At 39.0% G+C, this 26,568-nt stretch overlaps 1 protein-coding gene and 2 pseudogenes across 47 annotated transcripts in view, besides 1 other annotated feature; 1 reads left to right on the forward strand and 2 right to left on the reverse strand.

The window, feature by feature from the left end:
• Positions 1–26,568, forward strand: part of RIMS2 (regulating synaptic membrane exocytosis 2) — a 755,485-nt gene that overhangs the window by 56,854 nt on the left and 672,063 nt on the right. The gene's annotated exons all lie outside the window — the stretch shown is intronic.
• On the reverse strand, positions 1,066–2,092 carry PTMAP15 (prothymosin alpha pseudogene 15; annotated as a pseudogene).
• Positions 8,032–8,194: a silencer, noted in NCBI's record as "fragment chr8:104577723-104577885 (GRCh37/hg19 assembly coordinates)". NCBI's record gives its function as "represses an EF-1alpha promoter that drives an FKBP-Casp9 reporter gene in an ReSE screen in HepG2 liver carcinoma cells {active_cell/tissue: HepG2}" and the evidence as "EXISTENCE:reporter gene assay evidence [ECO:0000049][PMID:32094911]".
• LOC101101841 (mediator complex subunit 21 pseudogene) lies at positions 10,871–11,531 on the reverse strand (annotated as a pseudogene).

Here is a 26,568-nt window from a genome sequence, read left to right on the forward strand (position 1 = left end):
CATAGTTTTATATTGGTTTTAGACTTTGTGATATTTAAAAACATGTTTTATATATCATTTAGAAAATATTTATCACCTGCTGTGTTCCAGGCACTGTTCTAGAAATTTGGGACACTACAATGAATGAAACTATCAGATAAACCCTTGATAATTTCTACCATACAGGAGTTTACATTCTCTATCATTGCTATTTCCATAAGTAATGACTGTAACAATCTTATGGCTGAAATACATTTTTGTTTTTATTCAACACTTTTCACTTATAACTAACTGAATTATAACTCCTTGATTTATAACTAAATTGTAACCTTTTCAGTTATAATTTAGGCCTAACCATGTACAATTTTGAAAATGTACATAAATCAAGCATAACAAAATAATCTCTAGTATTATAGAAAGAGTACTGAAAATGAGTAGTCTGTGCTCCAGTTCCAGCTCTCCTGTAAATGAATGTGCAACCTTGAGCAAGTTACATAAATTCTCCCAACTATGGGTAAAATTAAAATTTAAGATTGGGTTATCTCCAAAGTTCCTTCAGTTGTAAAAATTTCTGTGATCTTAAAGTTTTCAAAAAGGTGCATAAAGTACCTTTATTTTTTATTTTATTTTTTTAACAAGTCAGCAAACTAAAATTCCAGTTTATTTTTGGACTGCATTGTTTTACAGGTAGGCATTAACTCAAAAAACAAAGAAAAAAACCCAGCAATTCAAAATTTGATAGACAAAAGAGGAAAAAAAAGAAACCTTGTATTTATTTTTATTTTATTTTATTTTTGAGACAGAGTCTTGCTCTGCCACCCAGGCTGGAGTGCAGTGGCGTGACTCTCGGCTCACTGCAACCTCTGTCTCCTGTGTTGTTCAAATGATTCTTGAGCCTCAGCCTCCCGGTAGCTGGGATTACAGGCATACACCACCACGCCTGGCTAATGTTTGTATTTTTTGTAGAGATGGGGTTTTGCCATGTTGGCCAGGGTGGTCTCAAACTCCAGGCCTCAGGTGATCTGCCCACCTCGGCCTCCCAAAGTATTGGGATTATAGGCATGAGCCACCGTGCCTGCCCCAAATCTTTTATCTTTGGCCTTTTTAACCATTTCATACAAACCAATGACTTATAGTACAGCTAAGTACATACATGAAAAAATTTACTGGAATTCTTGGGATAAGATAGTTTTTTTTTTGTCGTTGGTTTTGCTTTTTTTAAACAGGATTTTTCCTCCTTTGAGATTGTAAATATGAACATGGTCACACCACAAGTAAAGTCAGAAGTAGGACAGAGAACAATCTGAAGGGTGGTTTGGTCATTGGAGATCATTAAAAATGGCTGACCCAAACAATATGTGCAAAAATATAAAATGTAAATTAAAAATACAAACAAATTTCCTTTTTCAAGTACTTTTAAAAAACAAGCAGGGCCTTTAGTTCTTTTTCCTTCTCTGTTACAAATTCTTGTGGTTTTGTTTGGGTGGTGGAGAGCATGCATCATTTACAGGTAGCACTGCTGGGCCTCTCTCCTCAAAGGTGACCATGTGTTTAGATTCTGAGATGGAAATGGAGAGTAAATATGTCATGGTGGCCTTTCAGATATTTTTTAACTTTTTTTTTTTTGCTCTCTGATCATCCTTATTTGGTCTATTTTGGTATCAACATTGTCATCCTCATCAGCTGCCCATTTGCCCCCAGCAGCCTCAGCTCCCTCATCTTCATCTCCATCCTGTTCCTCACCATTATCTTCTTATTTCTCTTCCTCTTCCTCCCCACTTCCTTCTTCTTCTTTTTCATCTCTCTCATTGCCAGCCTTCTGATCCTGATTTTCCTAATTAGCCTTCCCATTAGCAGGGACATCTCTTCCATTTTCTGCCTCCCCATAACTTCCTTCTCCTTTATGCCCTTGGTGGTGATCTCGGAGCTGGTGTCCACGGCTGCTTCACGGTGGAGCATGCCAGTGATCCGATGCAGGGGATTAAAAAGAAAGAGAGAGTTCAGGGACTCTGGTGATCAAGCTGCAGAGTTTCCTGCTGTGGAGGTGGCTGCTGTGAGAAGGGAGCAGGACTGAGAACAATGCAGAGATGGCTTTTAAGAGCAGCCAGTGAGGCTAAAGTATCTTTTCTTTAGAATGTGATCTTTTCCTAATGACACTGTCAACTCATGGTGGATCCAGAATTCAAGTCTCATTATAAGTTAAAACTAGTGCTAGCACACTGAGGACATTCAATAGATACTTAATGAAATTATATCAATATGTGTTAGATTATCAAAAACCATGAAATGTCTGAGATTTTATTCTATTGACAAACTAACAAGTTAGCCTGCCGTGGTTTCAGGATGCTGGCAGAAGAAATGAAACTCTGGGTCAGAGATGAAGGGCTGTTGGTTACTCACAGCAATAATAGTAGCCAGTGTATTATTTGTTTCAATTCTGTAAGCTCCTATTCCCACAGGATGAAATAAAGAAGGCCAGATTATACCTACACATGCAGTGAGCTGAATTATAGGAGAGGAGCTCTGAGGCTAGGGCGTCAAATCTTTTATAGCATGTAGTAAGTATGCTTTACTGCCCTTTGACCTAGAAGGAGACATTATTATTTCCAAAGCTGCCCCCAAATCTGTTGCTGAAGCAGAGCTTATCTTCCAAGTGTTTACGGTGTAAACAAAATAGTTCAGAACAATAAGTCAGTGCATCTTCTCACAGGACATGAAGAAACAAGGGACATCGATGAATTGCCTTCCAACAGAGTATTAGAATTATTGTTATATTAAAGGATAAAATAGCTGGGCATGGTGGCATGTGCCTGTAGTCCCAGCTACTCGGGAGGCTGAGGTAGGAGAATCACTGAACCTGGGAGGTGGAGGTTGCAGTGAGCCAAGATTGCGCCATTGCACTCCAGCCTGGGTGACAAGAGCGAAACTCTGTCTAAAAAAAGAAAAAAAAGAAAAATAGCTAAGTTTAGACTTGATCTTATCTATCTCTACCAACTAAAATATTAGAAACTGATAAACATGTGCCCTTTATATAAACAATCTTCAGAAGGGAGCGCACTCTGAAAGCAACATTTAAGTAAATTCTTGAATGTTGCTGAATACACAGATCAAACATTTAACTATGCTTACTCATTGACTCAAGGAAAGGATGGAAAGGTAGCTCATATAATAATTCAAGTGTTTTACATATAAAGTAATTGGGCTGTGTGTCAATGTCTGGGGATTCAGAGATTGTTAAAGAACACAAGGTAAACACAATCATTTGAAATTTAAGATATGTTTTTAAATTTCAAGAATAAGTTTATTTCAGACATTTCTTTCACTTTATCAAATCTCTTAATCAAAAATGAAACCCCAGATACCATATTTATGTTATTTTGAGGTTGTGTTAATAAATATAGGTGTTCTTTTTATGTTAAGTAGGAATCCTTAGCAACTTAACTAGTAGTGCTTGTAAACAGACAACAACAACAAATCCTAAAAACCAGACATCAGTGAAAACAAACCAACAACCAAAAATTACTATCTGTACCTTTAAATTTGTAAGCATTTTTTAGAGTTTGTTTGATAAACTTAGGTTGGTTTTAAAATTTAGCTCAGTGACTCAGTTGCAGCTGTTCCAAATAATTGGTCATGAGCTTTTTATACTAGCTGGCTTAATCTAACAGAGTGCAGCTTCCTGCGGCTTTTTCCTCTCTGTGACCAAGAATCTGAAATATATATATATCTTAAGAGATTATCTTAGTCATTTATATTTAAGAATAACAACTTAGTATGGGCTTAACAAAGAGCAATTTTTATATACTTTTTATTTTAGATAATTTTGATCTGGCTAGATAAAAATAATAGGAATTCCAAATGACTATATATTTGAAAAATAAGAAACATACCCATTGAATCAATTTAGAAAATCCAGGCATATGAAAGAAGTACTCCTTTCAGTTAGAAATAGCTACTTTAACACTTGTTATATAGCCCAATCACTATGTCTTGATATTTGATTTATTGCTTCTGTAATGATTAAAATTATTTCTCTGTTATGACAGTGGTAGAAGTCAAGAGATACATAAACATTACCAGTTCTTACCCATCGAAAGACATTTCTTGTTTAAAAAAAACCCCCAAACCACAGCACCACTTCTTTTCTTATATCAGCAACATCAAAACTAGAGCAACAAAACAAAAAAGTGTGTTCCTATTATATCTTGAGTTAATAAATGTTAGCTTCTTGACAGCCATAAAAGTGAGTTAATGCCTACCTGAATGGGTTACTCAAGATCTTTATATGGGCAGGTATTTTTTCCCCTGCCTTTGTTTTTATGGCCTGTATTAGTCCATTTTCATTCGGGTGATAAAGACATACCTGAGACTGGGCAATTTACAAAAGAGAGGTTTAATGGACTTACAGTTCCACATGGCTGGTGAGGCCTCACAATCATGGCGGAAGGCAAGGAGGAGCAAGTTACATGTTACAAGGATAGTGATAGGAAAAGAGAGAGCTTGTGCAGGGAAACTTGCTCTTATAAAATCATTAGATCTTGTGAGACTTATTCACTATCATGAGAACAGCATGGGAAAGACCTGCCCCCATTATTCAGTTACCTCCCACTGAATCCCTCCCACAACATGTGGGAATTCAAGATGAGATTTGGGTGAGGAAACAACCAAACCATATCATTTCACCCCTGGTCATTTCCAAATCTTATGTCTTCACATTTCAAAACCAGTCCTGCCTTCCTAACAGTCTCCCAAAGTCTTAACTCATTTCAGCATTAACTCAAAAGTCCACAATCCAAAGTCTCATCTGAGACAAGGCAGTCCCTTCTGCCTACGAGCCTGTAAAATCAGAAGCAAATTAGTTACTTCCTAGATACAGTGGGAGTACAGACATTGAATAAATACAGCTGTTCCAAATGGGAGAAATTGGCCAAAACAAGGGGCTACAGGCCCCATGCAAGTCTGAAATCCAACAGGGCAGTCATTAAACCTTAAAGTTCCAAAACAGTCTCCTCTCCTTTGACACCATGTCTCACATCTAGGTCATGCTGATGCAAGAGGTGGGTTCCCATGGTCTTGGGCAGCTCCACCCCTGTGGCTTTGAAGGATACAGCCTCCCTCCCGCTGCCTTCATGGGCTGGCATTGAGTGTCTGCGGCTTTTCCAGGTGCATGGTGCAAGCTGTCAGTGGGTCTACTATTCTGGGGTCTGGAGGACGGTGGCCCTCTTCTCATAGCTCCACTAGGCGGTGCCTCAATAGGGACACTGTGTGGAGACTCCGACCCCACATTTCCTTTCTCCACTGCCCTAACAGAGGTTTTCTATGAGGGCCCCGTCCCTGCAGCAAACTTCTGCCTGGGTACTCAGGCATTTCCATACATCTTCTGAAATCTAGGTGGAGGTTCCCAAACCTCAGCTCTTGATTTCTGTGCACCCGCAGGCTCAACACCATGTGGAAGCTGCCAAGGCTTGGGGCTTCCACCCTCTGAAGCAACAGCCTGAGCCGTACCTTGGCCCCTTTTAGTCAAGGCTGGAGCAGCTGGGACACAGGGCACCAAGTCCCTTGACTGCACACTGAAGGGGGACCAAGGGCCTGGCCCACAAAACCAGTTTTTCCTCCTAAATCTCCAGGCCTGTGATGGGAGGGGCTGCAGCAAAGGTCTCTGACAAGCCCTGGAGACATTTTCTCCATTGTCTTGGTGATTAACATTCAGCTCCCTGTTACTTTTGCAAATTTCTGCAGCTGGCTTGAATTTCTCCCCAGAAAATGGGATTTTCTTTTCTATCACATTATCAGGCTGCAAATTTTCCACACTTTTATGCTGTTTCCCTTTTAAAACTGAATGCCTTTAACAGCACCCAAGTCACATCTTGAATGTTTTGCTGCTTAGAAATTTCTTCACACAGATACCCTAAATCATCTCTCTCAAGTTCAAAGTTCCACAGATCTCTAGGGCAGGGGTAAAATGCTGCGTCTCTTTGCTAAAACATAACAATAGTCACCTTTGCTCCAATTCCCAACAAATTCCTTATATCCATCTGAGACCACTTCAGCCTGGATTTCATTGTCCATATCATTATCAGCATTTTGGTCAAAGCCATTCAACAAGTCACTAGGGAGTTCCAAACTTTCCCATATTTTTCTTTCTTCTCCTGAGCCCTCCAAACTGTTCCAACCTCTGCCTGTTACCCAGTTCCAAAGTCACTTCCACTTTTTTGTGTATCTTTTCAGTAGCACCCCACTCCTGGTACCAATTTACTGTATTAGTCCATTTTCACGCTGGTATTAAAGACATACCCAAGACTAGGCAATATACAAAAGAAAGAGGTTTAATGGACTTACAGTTCCACGTGGCTGGGAAGGTCTCACAATCATGGCAGAAGGCAAGGAGGAAAAAGTCACATCTTACGTGGATGGTGGCAGGCAAAGAGAGAGCATGTACAGGGGAAACTCTCTTATAAAACCAGCAAATCTCATGAGACTTATTCACTGTCATGAGAAAAGCACGGCAAAGACCTGCCCTCATGATTCAATTACCTTTCACTGGTCCCTCCCACAACACATGGGAATTCAAGATGAGATTTGGGTGGGGATGCAATCAAACCATATCATGGCCTTAAATCACAGTCCACATTGTTGCACTGCAGTGTCTAAGTCTGTTGCATACTCTTGGTCTTAATTCTCCTGCACAGGAGAAGAACATAACTTTTGTTAAGACATGCACTAAAGTTAATCTCTTTGTTCAACTCATCCAAAGTGTGTTTATTTGAAATATGATTACGTGCAAAATTTAACTGATTTAAAACAACTCCATCAGATTCTGTACCTTTAAATGAGTATTGTCTTCTTCAAAGTAGTCACTTTGGGAGACTATGGTTTTATTCCAGCCATCTGTCATTGTTTGTATTAGGGTTCTCTAGAGGAACAGAACTAATAGGATAGATGTATATATAAAGGGGAGTTTATTAAGGAGTATTGACTCACATAATCACAAGATGAAGTCCCACAGTAGGCCATCTGCAAGCTGAGGAGCAAGGAAGCCAGTCTGAGTCCCAAAACCTCAAAAGTAGGGAGGCTGACAGTGCAGCCTTCAGTCTGTGGTTGAAGGTCCAAGAGCCTCTGGCAAACCACTGGTGTAAGTCCAAGAGTCCAAAAGCTGAAGAACTTGGAGTCCAGTGTTTGAGGGCAGGAAACATCCAGCATGGGAGAAAGATGAAGTCCAGAAGCGTTGGCCAGTCTAGTCCTTCCACGTTCTTCTGCCTGCTTTTATCCTAGCTGTGCTGGCAGCTGTGATTAGATGGTGCCCACCCAGATTGAGGGTGGGTCTCCCTCTCCCAGTCCACTGACTCAAATGTTAATCCTTTAGCAACACCCTCACAGATACCCAGGAACAATACTTTGCATCCTTCAATCCAATCAAGTTGACACTCAACCATCACGCTGGTCTTACCATTTTTTAGGAATTAGGTGTGGTAGGTGTGGTTATCTTTTTAAAGAGTGAGAGTGAGGAGAGAGAGACTAAACGTTATATGACACAGCTCTATCTTCAGCTTTTTAACCACACATGTAGAGAAGCCTCATACTTGGGACTTTTACTGGGTTCTATTTATGTTGTCATCTGAGACTTGACAGACATATGGGCTAAAGACATGTATGTGTACGGAAGTTCATTGTTTCTCATTAAGATTTACACTAGCCTAGGAACTACATAGCACCTGTGCCCTGGTTAGTGACAGAATGAATAGTCTAGGTGCAGTTTATAAAAGCTGCCGTACAGCAACTCTCTTTAGCTCCAGTGGCCTTTGTTAGATGTAAATGTACTAAAGTTAAGGAGGGAGGGAGAAGGAAATCTGATTTTGTGCTGTTTAATGTTTTTTTTTTTGGAGACGAGGTCTCACTCTGTTGTTTAGGCTGGAGTGCAGCGGTGCCATCTCAGCTCACTGCAAGCTCGACTGCCTGGGATCAGGTGATCCTTCTACCTCAGCCTTCCAAGTAGCCAGGACTACAGGCATGCACCACCACACCTGCTAATTTTTGTATTTTTTTGTAGACACGTCGTTTTTGCCATTTTGCCCAGGCTGGTCTCGAATATCCGAGTTCAAGCAATCTGCCCACCTTGGCCTTCCAAAGTGCTGGCATTACACCGCACTTGGCCTAGCAAGTGTTTTGACTCTGTGGAATTTTATATAATTGTATAAAAAGGAGCAAGTTGAGAAGAATGAGATGTAGAATTTTACTGAAGGTGAAGGCCAAGAATAGGTCTACTATACTGTTAATATTGGTGCTGTAGTCTTATGGAGTATCAGTGATGCCAGTGGGCTTAGGGAGGCCTCTGAACACTGGTGAGACCTTGACCCCAGCCACTGTCCCGGTTCTTGACACCTTTGCGAGAGAGTTCAAGGACGAGTCAAAGCAAAAGTAGAAAGTATTTTTTGTCAAGTGAAAGTACACACTCAAGGGTGGGAGTATAGGCCTACTCAGGAGAGTATGTTATGCCCAATATGTTTGGGGTTTGTCAAAACCAAAAAATGTTTTTCAAATTAAGAGGCAGAATGATCATAAGGATTTCTGGGAAGAGAATAAGATTTCTTGAAATTGAGGTGCCACTGAGTTTTATAACAAACATAGGTATACCTGGAACTGTCATGGTTCTGCTGAGATGTGGTTTAGTATAATAATGAGTTTATAATTGAACCTGGGGTACAATTTGAGTCAAATCCAGTGCCATGTTAGATCTAGCTTGTCTTAACTGGTATTTCTTACATCCTGTTTGTCAGGGTCTTATTGGCTCCTCCCCCTTCCCCATTCCTGTAGCTGGTTTCTGTGTTCCTTCTATGTTAGTCATGTGAAACTGTTGCCTGGTATTTCCTATTTCTTCTGTGACCACCCCATATTCCTGTCTCATAAGGAAGCAAGAAAAGGGCTCTCTTTCTCAGTTGTTTCAGGGAGATGTTCAAAGTTGTCATTTTCTATAGATTTTCAACACTGCTCTGATACCCTTAACTCTCAGCTGATACCCAAAGACTTCCTACTTTGTTGGGAAAATGGAGTGTATAACATGTGTACTCTCAGTTTTTCTACTTTCCACTTAATACTTGCTTGGATATATTTACATATATTCATATTTTGTAGTGAACATTTATTGATTACTTCTCCCAGGATAGAAACCTGTTCCTTCTATCTAATTGTATGCTAAATTTCCTAGCCATCTATTTTAGGTGGTAATTCCTTTGGAACAAGATGTATGGAATCTTCAAGAGCAAAGGTGGTCTTGTTCTATATCCTTTCCTATATCCTTGTACTGATTATTCCTGTCCTTTACTAACCCTTCATTTTCCTGGCCAGTTCTTACTCAGTTATCTCCCTTTCTGTCTCCTTGAATCCCTTCATTGAGATAATTCACATACTGTACAATTCAGCCTTTCAAAATGTTGAGTTCAATGCTTTCTAGTATATTCTCAGAGCGGTGCAACTATAACCATAGTCTAATTTTAGAACATTTTGTTCTTTTGTTCCTCCTGAAAGAAACCCTGTACCCGTTAGCACTCAACTCCTCCCTTTTCCCTTCCCTCATCCTAGGCAACCACTAATCTTTCTATGGATTTGCCTGTTCTGGAGATTTCATATAAACAGAACCATACAGTATGTTGTCTTTTATGACTACTTTCACTTAGCATAATGTTCTCAAGGGTCATTCATGTCATAACATGTGTCAGTACTTTACTTCTTTTTTTATTGTGGTAAAATGCACATATAAAATTTTACCGTATGGCATTTGGTACATTTGCAGTGTTGTGCAAACATCACCACTATCCAGTTTTGGAATATTTTCATCACCCCAAAAGGAAACCCTGTATTCATCAAACACTCACGCCCCATTATTCCCTCATCCCAGCCACCAATCTGGCAACCACTAATCTCTTTTCTGTCTCTCTAGATTTGTCTGTTCTCATTACTTTATATAAATGGAATCATACAGTATGTAATTTTTGTGTGTGTCTGGCTTCTTTTACTTAGAATACTGTTTTCAAGGTTTATTCATGTCGTAACATGTATAGTACTTTTTGTTTTCTTTTGTGGCCAAATAATAATCTGTTGTATGAATATGCCACATATATGTTGACAAATGTCCATCAGGTGATTTGTTTCCACTTTTTTGACCATTATGAATAATGCTGTGAACATTTATGTACAAGTTTTTGTGTAGGTGTGTATTTTCATTGTGCTTGGATATATACCTAGGAGTGGAATTGCTGGGTCATATGGTAACTCTAGGTTTAAGTTTTTAAAAAACTGCCAGACTTTTCCAAAGGGTTGCACTATTTTACATTCCCACCAGCAATGTGTGAGGGTTTTACTTTCTCCACATCCTTCTCAACACTTGTTATTTTCTCTTTTTGGTTGTTTCCATCCTGGTGGGTATGAAGTAGTATCCCACTGTGGGTTTGCCTTGCATTTCTCTAATGACAGATGATGGTGAGCATCTTTTCATGTGCTCATTGGCTGTTTTTATATTTTATTTGAAGAAATATATATTCAAATCCTTGGCCTGGCATGGTGGCTTATGGCTGTAATCCCAGCACATTGAGAGGTTGAGGTGGGAGGATTGCTTGAGCCCAGGAGTTCAAGACCAGCTTGGGCAACATAGTGACACCCTATCTCTACAAAACAAATAAATAAATAAAAGTAAATGAAATAAAAACAAAAATTTAGCTGGGCTTGGTGGTGTGCCTCTGTAGTCCCAGCTACTCAGGAGGCTGAGGTGGGAGGATTCCTTGAGCCTGTGAGGTCGAGGTGGCACTGATCTGTGATCCTGCTGCTGCACTCCAGCCTGGGTGACAGAGCAAGACCCTGTTTCAAAATAAAATAAGAATAAAATAAAGTAAAATAAATTAAAATTATGGTTCAGAGATGGTTTAATCACAGTTTTATAACCTTGTTTATCAAGAGTGAAAATTGGAGATTATTAAAAGTAGCTAAAAAGGTAACACATGTCAGTGTTTAATGTTTCTGTAACTGTTGGTAAGGCTTACCATCTAAATCTGAGACAGAATTCTTAATGTTGTTGGAACAATCCTTTTCTCAGCCACATAGTATTCACTGGTGCTATAAGTCTGGAAGAGACTGGCCATGGGTACTACTTCTTGTCTTCAGCTGTAACTGTGATCAGTTGTGACTGTGCAATATCAGCAAGTGCACTTTGTATCTTTTCTAGAAGCATTTCCCTAGATAAACAATATGTAGCAGCTTCATGGTTTTGTTCTTCTAGCTTACATAAGGGAGTAGCCTATAAAGCAGCTGTAGATTCTTCACTGGGTAAGGAATCTATCAAAACATGAATGTCTTTTGCTGTTTGTGCAATCAGTGCTATAAGAAGCTGAGCATATTCTTCTGTAGGGTTAGCTGGCTGGTCTTTGTTAATTGCTGTCTGAATATTATTAAAAGAGGCAGGAAGACCACATTGCTGCAACACATCAGTGGCATTGCAAAACTGATCTGAAAGCGAGTTCATGGTGTCTTACAGCTGCATGAGCTGATCACCGTGTTCCTATCGCTCTTTTCACTTTCTTGATGGAGGCCTTTGCACAAAGTTAATTTTGATGTCCAATTTATCTTTTTTTTTGTTTTTGTTGCTTTGTGCTTCAGTGTTATATCGAAGGAAACCATTACCTAACCCAAGGTCATGAAAATTACTTTTATGTTTTCTTCTAAGAGTTTTACAGTTTTGGCTTTGACATTTAGGTCTTTAATCCCCTTGGAGTTAATTTTATATGATGTGAAATAGGAGTCTAACTTCATTCTCTTGTATATGGATAAACAGTTTTCTCAGCACTATTTGTTGTAAATACTATTCTTTCTCTACTGAATAGCCTTTGCACCTTTGTCAAAAATCAATTTGTCATTGATACAAGGGCTTATTTCTGGACTTCAGATTAATAGAACTGATCTGAAAAAAAGCTAACTTGGATTTCAATACTAATTGTATTGAATCTGTAGGTCAATTTAGGGAATATTGCTGTCTTAACAATATTAAGTTTTGTGACTTATGGACATGGGGTGTCTTTCCATGTATTTAAATCTTCTTTAATTTTTTCCCAATAATGATTTGTAGTTTTCAGTATACAAATCTTACACTGCTTTTATTAAATTTGTACCTCAGTATTTTTTTCTTTTTGATTTTTTTTTTGTTTAAAGATACAGGGTCTTGCTCTTTTGCTCAAGCTAGAATATAGTGGTGTTGATTTCAGCTCACTGTAGCCTTGAAATCCTGGGCTCAAACAATCTTCCTACATCTGCCTCCTGAGTAGCTAGGACTACAAGCATGTGCTACTGCCCCTGGCTAATTTTAATTTTTTTTTTTTTTTTGGCAGAGACAGGGTCTTGCTATGTCTGGTCTTTCGCAGGCTGGTCTTGAACTCCTGGCCTCAAGCAGTCCTACTGCCTCAGCTTCCCGAGTTGCTGGGATTATAGGTGTGAGTCACCATGCCTGGCTCATGCTATTTTAAACATGCAATTGTTTTCATAATTTCATTTTGGAAATGTTCTTTGCTAGTGTCTGGAAATACAATTGATCTTTGAATATTGGTCTTGTATCCTGCAATTAGTTTTAATCTACTCAGTTCTTAAGACTTTTGTCAAATATCACGTGTTCCAGGAAGTTTTTACACATCCTTTAGAACTGCATTAGGTAACCCTTCTTTGTGTTGCCCTAAATCCCTCCCCGTACCCTCATTATACAATGTACTTCTATGCTGTTTTGTTGTTGTAGGTTTGTTTCTAGACCTCTCATCTAAACTCTTAGATTGATTTTCAGTACTGATGTTGCCAGCACATTCTCCACAAAGAATAGAGTTTTGGAAAAATAACACCAATTAAAAAATAGAGTTAGAATTGAAAAAATTATGAGTTATCACATGCTTTATTACTTATTTATTCATTATCAAAAGGCAATTTTTTGAGTTCTTTAAATGAGTTAGCTAAACTCACATGCATATTGAATGTTCTTATAAATAAGTCTCTCCCATTTCATAAATCCTCTGATGCTTTGCTTCTCTAAACTTTTCCAGGAAAAAATTTTTGCAGGAGATTGTAAATGTGTTTAGGGGTGGAAAAGGTCGATAATGCTCCAGCACACTGAGAGTACCTTAGGAGCATGGAATTGTGTTTTATTTCTTGGTAGCATAGTCCCCGGTTGTTAGCATGATCCCTGATAACATGATAGGTATCAATAAATTAATTATTGAATTAATGTTTCTACCTGCAAATCTTAAAGATAGCTTGTTCAAAAATAACACATTTATTGAGCACCTACTAAGTACCAGTCACTAGTCTAGTCTCTGTTTTGTATAGTGATTAGAGCTTTCAAGGAGCTTAGCTTTTAATAAGTAGGGAGAACTCAATATTTCCAGATAAAGTTTGCAATTAAAAGTAATTGCAAAAGCTGCAATTACTTTTGCACCAACCTAAGTATTTATTGACAAAAGCTATTGTTTTTACTGTTTTTCCTATACCAATGACACAAAATAAATATTTTGGAGCCTTCTTTGACTGTTCTTGTACTGTCCTAATGATCAATTGGTCTACTTATAATTTTTCCTTTTTCTTGTCTGTATAAATTCTCACTCATTTTTCTTGTCTGTTATGATCTGCCATCAATGTTAGAGAACACAGACCTGTTAACTAGATTATAAATTTGACAACAGCAGCTGTGATGTGTCTATGCTCTAGTATTGTGTTTGGTACATACTATGTATTCATTAAGTGTTTATTGAATGAATAAAGAATGTCACTTATGATCTCAAAAACATCATACCTATGTTCAACAAAATAAAATTTCAAATCCCCTAATATACAACATTCATAATAGTCTGATCAATTTACCTTTCCAGCCACATTTGCATTGTTCCCTTTTTCCCACCTTAACACACACAAGCCTCCTTGAAGTTTCTTGAAAATACTGTAATAGGATGTTAATGGAGATGGAATATTAACTTATCAACTAGGAGTATAGAATAAAGCTGCTTTCCTTTTTTTACTTTTGGTGTGGATACTGTGACAGCAAATAATGAAAACCTAATTGTTTGACACACAGATTTCTTATATATGGCATATATATTTGTCATATGTATATTTGTGTGTATATGTATATATGTACCTACTATATGTGTATATATGCATTTCTATTTTTGTGATTTATAGGCAAAAGGTGTTATATTAATACTTTTTGTTGTGAGTAAAAAAGAACTCACCTTACACTAGCTTAAGGAAAGAAAAAAGAAATGTATTCGTTCATATAACTGGAAAGTCCAATAGGTAACTGGATTCAGAGCCTCAGAGAATATCTTTAGGACTCTCTCCATTGGTCTCTTGGTTCTGTTTCCTTTTGTTTGCTTCAAAAATTTTCTTCTGTCTGTTCTGCAACTGGGAAAGACACACAGCTTCCATATTTAGGCTGCATTGTCCAAAATTAATAGTTCCCTCACATATTTCTAATGCAAATGACAGAAGCAACAGCGTCAATAATAGTAATAGTGTGTCCAGCATTGGTTCCTTCCGGTGGGTTCTTGGTCTCTCTTGACTTCAAAAATGAAGCCACGGACCCTCGCAGTGAGTGTTACAGATCTTAAAGATGGTGTGTCAGGAGTTTGTTCCTTCCGATGTTCAGAAGTGTCTGGAGTTTCTTCCTTCCAGTGGGTTCATGGTCTCGCTTGACTTCAGGAGTGAAGCTGCAGACCTTCTTAGCAAGTGTTACAGCTCTTAAAGGTGCCGCGGACCCAGAGTGAGCAGCAGTAAGATTTATTGTGAAGAGCGAAAGAACAAAGCTTCCACAGCATGGAAGGGGACCTGAGCGGGTTGCTGCTGCTGGCTCGGGTGGCCAGTTTTTATTCCCTTATTTGGCCCTGCGCACGCCTTGCCGATTGGTCCATTTTACAGAGCACTGATTGGTCCATTTTACAGAGCACTGATTGGTCCATTTTACAGAGTGCTGATTGGTCCATTTTTACAGAGTGCTGATTGGTGAGTTTACAAACTCAAGCTGCTTTCTACAGGGGCTGAACTAATGGACATTCACACCAACAGTATGTAAGCATTCCTTTTTCTCTGCAGCATTGCCAAAATCTGTTTGTTTTTTTTTTCACTTTTTAATAATGGCCATTGTGACTGGTGTGAGATGTATCTCATTGTGGTTTTATTTGCGTTTCTCCAATGATTAGTGATGATGAACATTTTTTTCATATGTTTGTTGTCCACTTGTATGTCTTCTTTTGAGAAATATCTGTTTATGCTCTTTGCCAACTTTTTAATGGGGTCATTTATTTTTTATTTGTCAATTTATTTAAGTTCCTTATAGATTTTGGATATTAGTACTTGGATACATAGTTTGCAAATATTTTCTCCCATACTGTAGTTTGTCTGTTTACTCTGTTGATAGCTTCTTTTGCTGTAGAGAAGCTCTTGAATTTAATTAGGTCCCAGTTGTCAATTTTTGTCTATGTTTCATTTGCTTTAGAGGTCGTAGTCATAAATTCTTCCCCTAGGCTAATGTCCAGATGAGTATTTCCTAGGTTTTCTTCTAGGATTTGTATGGTTTGAGGCCTTACCCCTACATTTAAGTCTTCAATCCAATTTTTTTTTTCTAGATAGAGTCTCGCTCTGTTGTCCAGGCTGGATGTGGTGGTGTGATCCTGGCTCAGGTCCTCTGCCTCTCAGTTTCAAGTGGTTCTCATGCCTCAGCCACCCAAGTAGCTGGGACTACAGGTGCATGCCACCACGCCCAGCTAATTTTTGTATTTTTTTTTTTTCAGTAGAGATGAGGTTTCACTATGTTGGCCAGGCTGGTCTTGAACTCCTGACCTCAAGTGATCCACCTGTATCAGCCTCCAAAAGTGTTGGGGTTACAGGCATGAGCTACCACAGGTGGCCTTGTCTTTAATCCATCTTGAATTAATTTTTGAATATGGTCACAGTTAGGGGTCCAGTTTCATTATTCTGCATATTGCTAGCCAGTTTGTTTATTACTATTTATTGAATAGGGTATACTTTCTCCATTGTTTATTTTTGTTGACTGTCTAAGATCATTTTGTTGTAGGTGTGCAGCTTTGTTTTTGGGTTCTCTATTCTGCTATGTTGGTCCCTGTGTCTATTTTTGTACCATATCGTTTTGGTTATTATAGCCCTGTAGTACAGTTTGAAGTTGGGTAATGTGATACCTCCCACTTTGTTCTTTTCACTTATGATTGCTTTGGCTATTTAGGCTCTTTTTTGGATCCATATGAATTTTAGAATTTTTTTAATTCTGTGAAAAATGATGCTAGTAATTTGATAGGAATTGCATTTGATCTGTATATTGCTTTGGGCATTCTGGATATTTAATGTTATTGATTCTTCCAATTCATGAGCATGGAATGTTTTTCCATTTGTTTGTGTCCTCTGTGATTTCTTTCATCAGTGTTTTTTAGTTCTCCTTATAGAGATCTTTCACCTATTTGGTTTGATGTATTCTTAGGTATGGGCAAAAACAAAGGTTTTTAGATAACTATTATTTTCACTGGCATGTCAGTATTGTATTTATTTGTTTCAGGTTTTTGCATCTTACATGTTCCCGATTGGCCATTGACTTCAGTAAGCAATACTTTTTTTTTTTTTCCTATCTAAAAGTGTTTCATCTGGCCAGTGTATGTATGCTTCATTCTTTTGCAAGTTGAACTGCTTACTTATATTATAATCTGCTTAGAACGACCTAAGAGATATCACTTACTGGATGCTATTCAAATAAAAACTGGATATCATATTTGCCCTAGGTTCCCCCACTTTAGTAAATAAAAAGATATTTGGACAAACCATAATAATTCTGGTATGGAGTGCTTTTGCCATTCTTCTTTATAGCAATGAATCTTCAGACAATACTCTCCAACACCAGTCTTTGTGTAGTTTCCACTAAGCTTTGTTATATAAAAGCAAGCATCTCACAGACCGATATTGTTCACAGCCTTGTCCTGAACTCCTGCTCTAGTTTATTATGGTTGACTTGCTCTTATTTTTAGAGATTACTTCGTCTGTTTATTTCTTCACTTTATTCCTCTGATATGGAGCTATTCCAAGAATGTCATTCTCTGTCTATAATGTTTGGATTCACTGCAATTCCATTCTCTCTTTCTAAACTGTCTTTGGTTCCCCTTTATAAATATGCTTCTTGGTCTTCCCTGGTTCTTGGGACTCCCTGCGTTGTTTCAGTGTTACGAGTGGTACTTGGCTGGTAGACATTTTCATGAACTTTAGTAATTGTAACTGGTGGGTTAAAAGAAAGCCCTTGGGAAGAGAAATACATTGTTTACCTTAGAGCATTCTTTGATTTAAATGTTTACTTAGCGTACACCAAATGTGTACTTAATGATTAGGATCTGCCAAAGATACAAAGGAGATAGAAGATATTTCTAGCCCTTGTTGTGAAGTAACTTTAAATCTAGACTTTTAACCATATTACAATGAATGCCTGTGATAGCAATCACAATATCAGCATTGTAGCTATTAAAAATTTTTACATGGAAGGATTCTTGGCAGAGCCACAAGAATGTGTCCCTTTTTACTATCATAAGGTCCTAATTTATCTGACAGTGGACTCATATCCAGAATATATAAAACTCACACAAATCAGTAAAAGAACATATCACTCAATTAAAAAATAGGAAAGACACTTATGAGATTACTAGATAAAAGAACTTATATAAATGTCCATTGAACACGTGGAAAGTGCTCAACTTCATTAGTCGCAGTGGGAATACAGAATAAAACCACAGTGAAACACTACTGTGTGCCCACTAGAGTGGCTTAAAAAAGAGACAATAGTAGGTGTTTTAAGGTTATGGAACAATTGCTACTCTGATACACTGTTTTTAGCAGTTTAAACTAAAGTCAACTGTTTTGGAAAATGGGCAGTATCTACCAAAGCTGAACATATGATACCATATGACCCAGAAATTCCATTCCTAGGTATATACTCAGCAGAAATGAATGCATGTACTCACCAAAAGAAAAGTAAAGAATGTTCACTGCAACAATGTTTATAATATTCCTATATTAGTTTCCCATTGCTGCTATAACAAATTACCACAAATACTGGTTTCAAAGGTGGTGAAGTGAAGCTGGCTGCACTCCCCCACCACAGGAAATATGTATTTATATAATATATATTTATGTTTTATATATAATTTATATATATAAACACACACATACACACACACACACATATATATATATATACACATACAGCACTGAGATTATCACCAGTAATATCCCAGAATTCAAATATGAGGAAGAGACAGTTCCTGAGACTACAGAGAATTGAAAAAACTCTGAACGGATTAAGAGAATTGGATTTCCATGATGCTCCTCCCCACAATCTGCCTGGCACCAGATATGCCTAAAGTTTCCCCAAAACTACAGTTTCTACACTGGAAAAAGTGAGATCAAGGTGGATAACTAGTTTTGCTTCTAACTTCAGTTCCCTAGCAGGAGACTGTCCCTGCCTCAACCCAGGGGAAACATCAGGAGTACCTGAAGGAAAAATTATCCTTGAGGACAACCAAACACAAAGTGGGAGGGCAGGACCACTATCCTCAGCATGGAAACCCTGCTATGTAAGTCAGCCAAAGGAGATGCCATGCTGTAGAAGGTTTGTTCCACAGGTCCCCTGGGCATGAATCCCTAGCCAGCCTTCCCACACTATAAGGCTATCCCCTTTGGGACTCATTTGGAATGGGTGGCACTCTGAATATTTACTACAACCAAGGCAAACTTGGGTTTAATGCACCAACTAGTGCCAAAACGGTGGCAGCAACATGGCAGAAAAAACAAACAACCATAAGAAAGAAAATCAACATGTAAATCACAAAGCATCTGTAAGCAAACATATCCAATAAAAACCACAATAAGCCAGATAGGTAAGACTGGAATAAATAACTAATCCTTGAATGCAAAGATGTAAATGTACATTCAAAAAAACAAGAGCAAAGAGGGAACCATGGTCTCCTCAAATGGAGAACGAATGAAACCAGTGGCTGACCCTAACGAGACAGCCATATGTGAACTCTCTTAAGAATTCAAAATACCAGTTTTAAGGAATCTAAATGATCTCCAAGATAACATATAAAAACAAAAAAAGAGCCCATATAACCAAGACAATCCTAAGTAAAAAGAACAAAGCTAGAGGCATCATGCTACCTGACTTCAAACTATACTACAAGGCTACAGTAACCAAAGTAGCGTGGTATTGGTACCAAAACAGATATATAGACCAATGGAACAGAACAGAGGCCTCAGAAATAACATCACACTTCTACAACCATCTGATCTTTGATATCCCTAACAAAAACAAGCAATGGGGAAAGGATTCCCTATTTAATCAATGGTGTTGGGAAAACCGACTAGCCATATTCAGAAAACTGAAACTGGACCCCTTCCTTACACCTTATACAAAAATTAACTCAAGATGGATTAAAGACTTAAATGTTAGACCTAAAACCATAAAAACCCTAGAAGAAAACCTAGACAATAACATTCAGGACATAGGCATGGGCAAAGACTTTATGACTAAAACACCAAAAGCAATGGCAACAAAAGCCAAAATTGACAAATGGGATCTAATTAAACTAAAGAGCTTCTTCACAGCAGAAGGAACTATCATCAGAGTGAACAGGCAACCTACAGAATGGGAGAAAATTTTTGCAATATATCCATCTGACAAAGGGCTAATATCTAGAATCTACAAGGAACTAAACAAATTTGCAAGAAAAAACAAACAACCCCATCAAAAAGTGGGCAAAGGATATGAACAGACACTTCTCAAAAGGAGACATCTATGCAGCCAACAGACACATGAAAAAAATGCTCATCATCACTGGTCATCAGAGAAATGCAAATCAAAACCACAGTGAGACACTATTTCAACCAAACACTGATAAGTGGGAGTTGAACAGTGAGAACACATGGACACAGGGAGGGGAACATCACACGCCGGGGCCTGTCAGGGGCAGCTAGGGGAGGGATAGCATTAGGAGAAATATGCAATGTAGGTGACGGGTTGACAGGTGCAGCAAACCACCATGGCATGTGTATACCTAGGTAACAAACCTGTACATTCTGTACATGTATCCCAGAACTTAAAGTATAATTTTAAAAAATTTAAAGTATTAATACAGTTACTGTGTGATCTAGCTATTTCATTTCTTGGTATTTACACAATATGAATGAAAATAAATATTTACAAAAATGAAAAAACAATTCAGAAATCATCAGAGAAATTTGACAAAGAAATTAAAATAATTTTTAAAAGCCAGACAGAAACCTTGGACCTGAGAAATATATTTCCTGATCTGACAAACTCATTAGAGGCTCTCAATAGCAAAATGGATGAAGCAGAGGTAAGAATTAGTGAGTTCAAAGACAAGTTTTTTGAAAATACTGAAATATGAAATACTGAAAATAGAAGAGGAATAAGAAAAAATTTAAAAGGAATGAAGATCATCTACAAGATATAGAAAATTACCTTAAAAGAGCAAATCTAAGATTTATTGATGTTCCAGAGGGAATTGAGCAAGAACAAGGAGTGGAAAGATTATTTAAAGAAATAATAACAAAACTTACCTAACCTTGGAAAAGAAATAAATATCCAGGTGCAGGAAGGTCAGAGAACACCAAACAGATTAGACCCAAATAAGAGTACCCCAAGGCACATAATCAAATTCTCAAAGGTCAAGGACAAAGAGAGGATTCTAAATGCAGCAGGAGAAAAGAAGCAACTAACATATCGGCCAGGCATTGTGGTTCATGCCTGTAAGTCCAGCACTTTGGGAGGCCGAGGCAGGTGGATCATTTGAAGTCAGGAGTTCAAGATCAGACAGCCCAACATGGTGAAACCCCATCTCTGCTAAAAATACAAAAATTAGCTGAGAGGAAATGATGTGCACCTGTAATCCCAGCTACTCGGGAGACTGAGACGGGAGAATCATTTGAGCCTGGGAGTTGAAGGTTGCAGTGAGCCAAGATAGTAACACTGCACTCCAGCCTGGGTGACAGAGTGAGCTCCTGTCAAAACAAAAAACAAAAAACAAAACAAAACAACAACAACAACAACAAAAAACCCAACAACATATAAAGGAGCTCCATTTTGTCTGGCAACAGACTTTTCAGTGGAAATCATACATTCCAGGAGGGGAGTGGGGCAACATTTTCAAAGTGCTGAAGGAAAAAATCTGCTGTTTTAAGAATACCATGGCTGAGCACAGTGGCTCACACCTGTAATCCTGTAATCCCAGCACTTTGGGAGGCCAAGGCAGGCTTATCACCTGAGGTCAGGAGTTTGAGACCAGCCTGGCCAACTGTTTCTACTAAAAATACAAAAAAATTAGCCGGGCATGGTGGCACACACCTGTAATCCCAGCTACTCAGGAAGCTGAGGCAGGAGAATCACCCAACTGGAAGGTGGAGGTTGCACTGAGCTGAGAATGCACCATTGCACTGCAGCCTGGACAACAGAGCAAGACTCTGTCTCAAAAAAAAAAAAATAGAATATTGTATTTAGCAAAACTATCCAACAGACATGAAGGAGAGAGAAAGTCTTTCCCAGATACACAAAAACTGGGAGAATTCACCACCATGAATATGGGAAGAAATACTTAAAGGTGCCAGGCACAATGGTATGTGCCTGTAATCCCAGCTACTTGAGAGAAAGAAGTGGGAGAATTGCTTGAGCCTGGGAGTTCAGGACGAGGGCAGCATAGCAATACTCTCTCTCTCTCTCTCCCTCTCTCTCTGTCTCTGTCTCACACACACACAGACACACACACACACAGACACACACACACACACACGAAATGCCAAAGGGAGTTATTCAATCTGAAAGGAAAAAATACATGCAAAAAGAAAACATCTGAAGGTATAAAACCTACTGATAAAATTAAGTACAAGGACAAACCCAGAATAATAGTGTAATTACAGTGTGCAGTCCATTCATAACTTTAGTATGAAGCTCAAAAGACAGATCTAACAATAATCATAGTTATAGCTACCTTTTAAGAGAAAGTCTATGTATTTTGAGACAACATAAAGTAAAAATGGGAGGGAATGGATTTAAAGTGTAGAGTTTTTTTTTCTTTCTGTGTTCTTTATGATGTAAGGTAAGTTTTCACTTATTTAAAATAACTTCTTAACCTATAAGATGTTTTTTATAAGCTTCATGGTAACCACAATGCCAATTAAAATATAATACCAGAAGCGTTGCTTAACCACTGTATTAGTCTGTTCTCACACTGCTATAAAGAACTACCTGAGACTGGGTAATTTATGAATAATGACTCACAGTTCTGCAGGCTGTACAGGAAGCATGGTTGGGAAGCCTCAGGAAACTTATAATCATGGTGGGATGGCAAAGGGGAAGCAAGTATGTCTTCAAATGGTGGCAGGAGACAGAGAGAGTGAAGACGGAGATGCTGCACATTTTTAAACAACCAGATCTGGTGAGAACTCACTCACTATCATGAGAACAGCAAGGGGGAAATCCGCCCCCGTGATCCAATCACCTCCCATCAGGTCTCTCCTCCAACACTGAGAATTACAATTCGACATGAGATTTGGGTGGGGACACAGAGCAAAACCGTATCAACCACTAAAGGACACAGTAAGAAAGGAAGAGAGGAATTACAGAACAACCAGAAAACAAGCAACAATTGGCAGTAGTAAGTCCTTACCAATTATAACCTTGAATGTAAATGGACTTAATTCTCCAACTAAAAGGCAGAGAGTGACTGAATAGCTAAAGAAACAACAACCAACTCTATGTTTCTTACCAAAAACCCACCTCACCTGTAAAGATACACATAGACTAAGCTTGAAGGGGTGGAAAAAGATATTTCATTGCAATTAGAAACCAAAATCAAGCAGAAGTAGCTATACTTAGATAAAATAGACTACAAATCAAAGACTGTAAAAACAAAGACTATATGTGTGCATGTGTGTGTGTGTGTGTGTGTGTGTAAAATGATAAAGGGGATCAATTCAACAAGATGACATAACAATTATGAATTTCTGTGTACATAACACTGGAGCTCCCTAGTACATAAAGCAAACATTAATAAATCTAATGGGAGAGATAGACTGCAATGCAGTAATAGCAGGGGACACATGCAATCTAAGAAGATTTAACCATGAAGAAATAGAAAACCTCAAACCAGTAATGAGTAATGAGAGCAACACTGTGGTAAAACGTTTACCATCAAAAGAAAAGCTGACAGCCTGATTGCTTCACAGCTGAATTCTACCATACATTTAAAGATGAACTAATACCATGTCTACTCAAACTCCTCAAAGAAACTGAAGAGAAAGGGAATACTTTTTTTTTTTTTTTTTTTTTTGAGACAGAGTCTCGCTCTGTCACCCAGGCTGGAGTGCAGTGGCACTATCTTGGCTCACTGCAAGCTCCGCCTCCTGGGTTCACGCCATTCTCCTGCCTCAGCCTCCCGGGTAGCTGGGACTACAGGCGCCCGCCACCACGTCCAGCTAATTTTTTTGTATTTTTAGTAGAGATGGGGTTTTGCTGTGGTCTCGATCTCCTGACCTCGTGATCTGCCCGCCTCGGCCTCCCAAAGTTCTGGGATTACAGGAATGAGCCACCACACCTGGCCGAGAAGGGAATACTTTCAAACTCATTCTACTAGGCAAGCATTACCCTGATGCCAGAACTAGACAAGGACACAACAAAATAAGAAGACTGTAGAGCATAAATGTAAAATGCTCAACAAAATACTAGCAAACCAAATTCAACAACACATTAAAAAGATCATTCACCATGATCAAGTGGGATTCGTCCCAGGGAATCAAGCATGGGCCAACATATGTAAATGAATAATACATCACATTAAAAGAACCAGGAACAAAAACTATATGATCATTTCAATAGATGCTGAAAAAGTATTCAATGAAATTTGACATCCTTTTATGCCAAAGACCCTCAACACACTGAATGTAGAAGGAACATAACTCAAAATAATAAAGGCCATATGTGAAAATCCCCCAGCTAACATCATACTGAATGGAGAAAAATTGAAAGCGGTTTATTTAAGATGCGGAACAAGACAAGGATGCCTGCTTTCACCACTTTTAATCAATATAAAAGTGAAAGTCCTGGCCAGAGCAATTAAGCAAGAGAAGGAAATTAAGGACATTCAAATTAGAAAGGAAGAAGTCACATTAGGTTTGTTTGCAGATGACATGATCTTATACTTAGAAAAACGTGAGGTCAGAGGAGGAGCAAGATGGTGGATAGAAGCCTCCACCAATCATCTCCCCCATAAGGATACCTCACCACCAAAGGCTGCATGTGCCCTGTCTCCAGGTAAACTTGAAAGGCAGTGTAGGCCATAAGGACTGCAACTCTAAGGCAAGTCCTAGTACCGAACTAGGCCGAGAGACAGTGAATTGGGGGAGGTGGCATGCAACATACTGAGACACCACTGGTGCAGCCAGGGGAATGTAAGCATCACTCCTTCCCTAAACCCAGGCTACACAGCTTGTGGCTCCAAAAGAGAACTCTTTCTTCCAATTGAGGAGAGGAGAGGGAAGAGTGGGGAGGACTTTGTCTTGCATTTAGAATACCAGCTCAGCCACAGCAGGATAGGGCACTAGTCAGAGTTGCGAGGTCCCTGTTCCAGGCCCTAGCTCCAGGATGACATTTCTAGACACATCCTGGGCCAGGATGGAACCCACTGCCTTGAAGGAAAGGACTCAGTCCTGGAAGCATTCATCACCTGCTAATTGAAGAGGCCTTGAGCACTGAATAACCAGCAGCAATACTTAGGTGCTACATCGAGGACCTTGGGCGAGCCTCTGAGACTTGCTGGCATCAGATGAGACTCAGCACATTACCAGCTGTGGTGGCTATGGGGAAAAACTCCTTCTGCTTGAGAAAAGCAGAGGGAAAAGTAAAGGGAACTTTGTCTTGCACCTTAGGTGCCAACATAGCCACAGGGGGATAGAGCACCAAGAGGGCTCTTGGGGTCCCCAATTCTAGGACTTGACTCTTAGATGGTATTTCTGGATGTGTCCTGGGCCAGAGGGGAGTCCATACCTGGAAGGGTGAGTCCCAGGCCAGGCAGCATTCACAATAAGCTGACTTAAGAAACCTTGGACCTTAAAGGAACATCTGTGTTAGTCTGGCAATACTCCTTGTGGCTGGGGGTAATAATGGCTACAGAATGAGGCTCCTCTGCCTTTGGAAAGAGGAGGGAAGAGTGGAAAGGATTGTGTCTTATGGTTTGAGTACCAGCTCAGCCATAATAAAATAGAACACCAGGTAGACTTCTAAGGTTTTTGACTCTAGTCCCTGGCCCCCAGATGGCACCTCTGGACCCACCTGGGGCCTGGGGGACCTCCCTGCCCTGAAGAGGAGGATACAGTTCTGGCTTGCTTTGCCACCTGCTTATTGTAGAGCCCCAGGACCTTGAGCAAAATAGGAAGTAACCATGGAGTGGTTGCAGCAGGCCTTGGGCAAGCCCCAGTGCTGTGCTGGCTTCAGGTCTGACCCAGCGCAGTCATAGTGGTGGTGGCCACAGGGGTGATTGTGTCACTCCACCCTCAGCTTTAGGTGGCTCAGAACACAGAGAGAGACACTTTATGTTTGGGAGAAAGACAAGAGAACAGAGTCTCTGCTTGATAATCCAGAGAATTCTCCTGGTTCTTGTTTTAGATTCTCAAGGTGGTACCTCTATGAGTTTGTAAGAACCACAGTGTTACTGGGCTTGGGGTGCTCTCTAAAACAGATAAAGCTTAGATCACAACATCATAGTCCCTTCAAATATCTGGAAAGCCTTCCAAAGAAGGACGTCTACAAATAAGCCTAGATAGTGTATACTACCATAAATTGTTATATCATCTTCAGTGCCTAGACACTGAAGAAGATCTGCTAGCATCAACACCATCTGGGAAAACATGACCTCACCAAGTGAACTAAATAAGGCATCAGGGATCAATCCTGGAGAAATATATGTGACATTTCAGACACAAAATTTAAAATAGTTGTGTTGAGGAAACACAGCTATTTTGAAATCAAAGATAACACAGAGAAGAAATTCAGAATTCTATCAGATAAATTTAACAGAGATTGCAATAATTAAAAAGAATCAAGACTCTGAAGAATGTAACAGAGTCCTTTTATAGCAGAATTGATCCAGCAGAAGAAAGAATTAGTGACCTTCAAGACAGGCTATTTGAAAATACACAGTCAGAGGGGACAAAATAGAAAAGAAAAACAAACAAACAATCAAGCATACTTATAGGACCTAGAACTAGAACTAGCCTCAAAAGGGCAAGTGTAAGTGTTATTGTCCTTAAAGAGGAGGTAGGTAGATAGGTGTAGAAAGTTAATTCAAAGGGTAACAAAGTCAACATATATCACGTGAGTGGGGGAAAAACACACACAATGGGATAATAACAACTTCCCAAACCTATAGAAAGATATTATATCCAAGTACAAGAAGGTTATAGAACTAAAGCAGTACTCCCTTTGGCATATTTAAACAGATTTAAACTAAAGAAGACTAC

Source organism: Homo sapiens, chromosome 8 (assembly GCF_000001405.40).
Source record: "Homo sapiens chromosome 8, GRCh38.p14 Primary Assembly".
NCBI classification, from domain to species: Eukaryota; Metazoa; Chordata; class Mammalia; order Primates; family Hominidae; genus Homo; species Homo sapiens.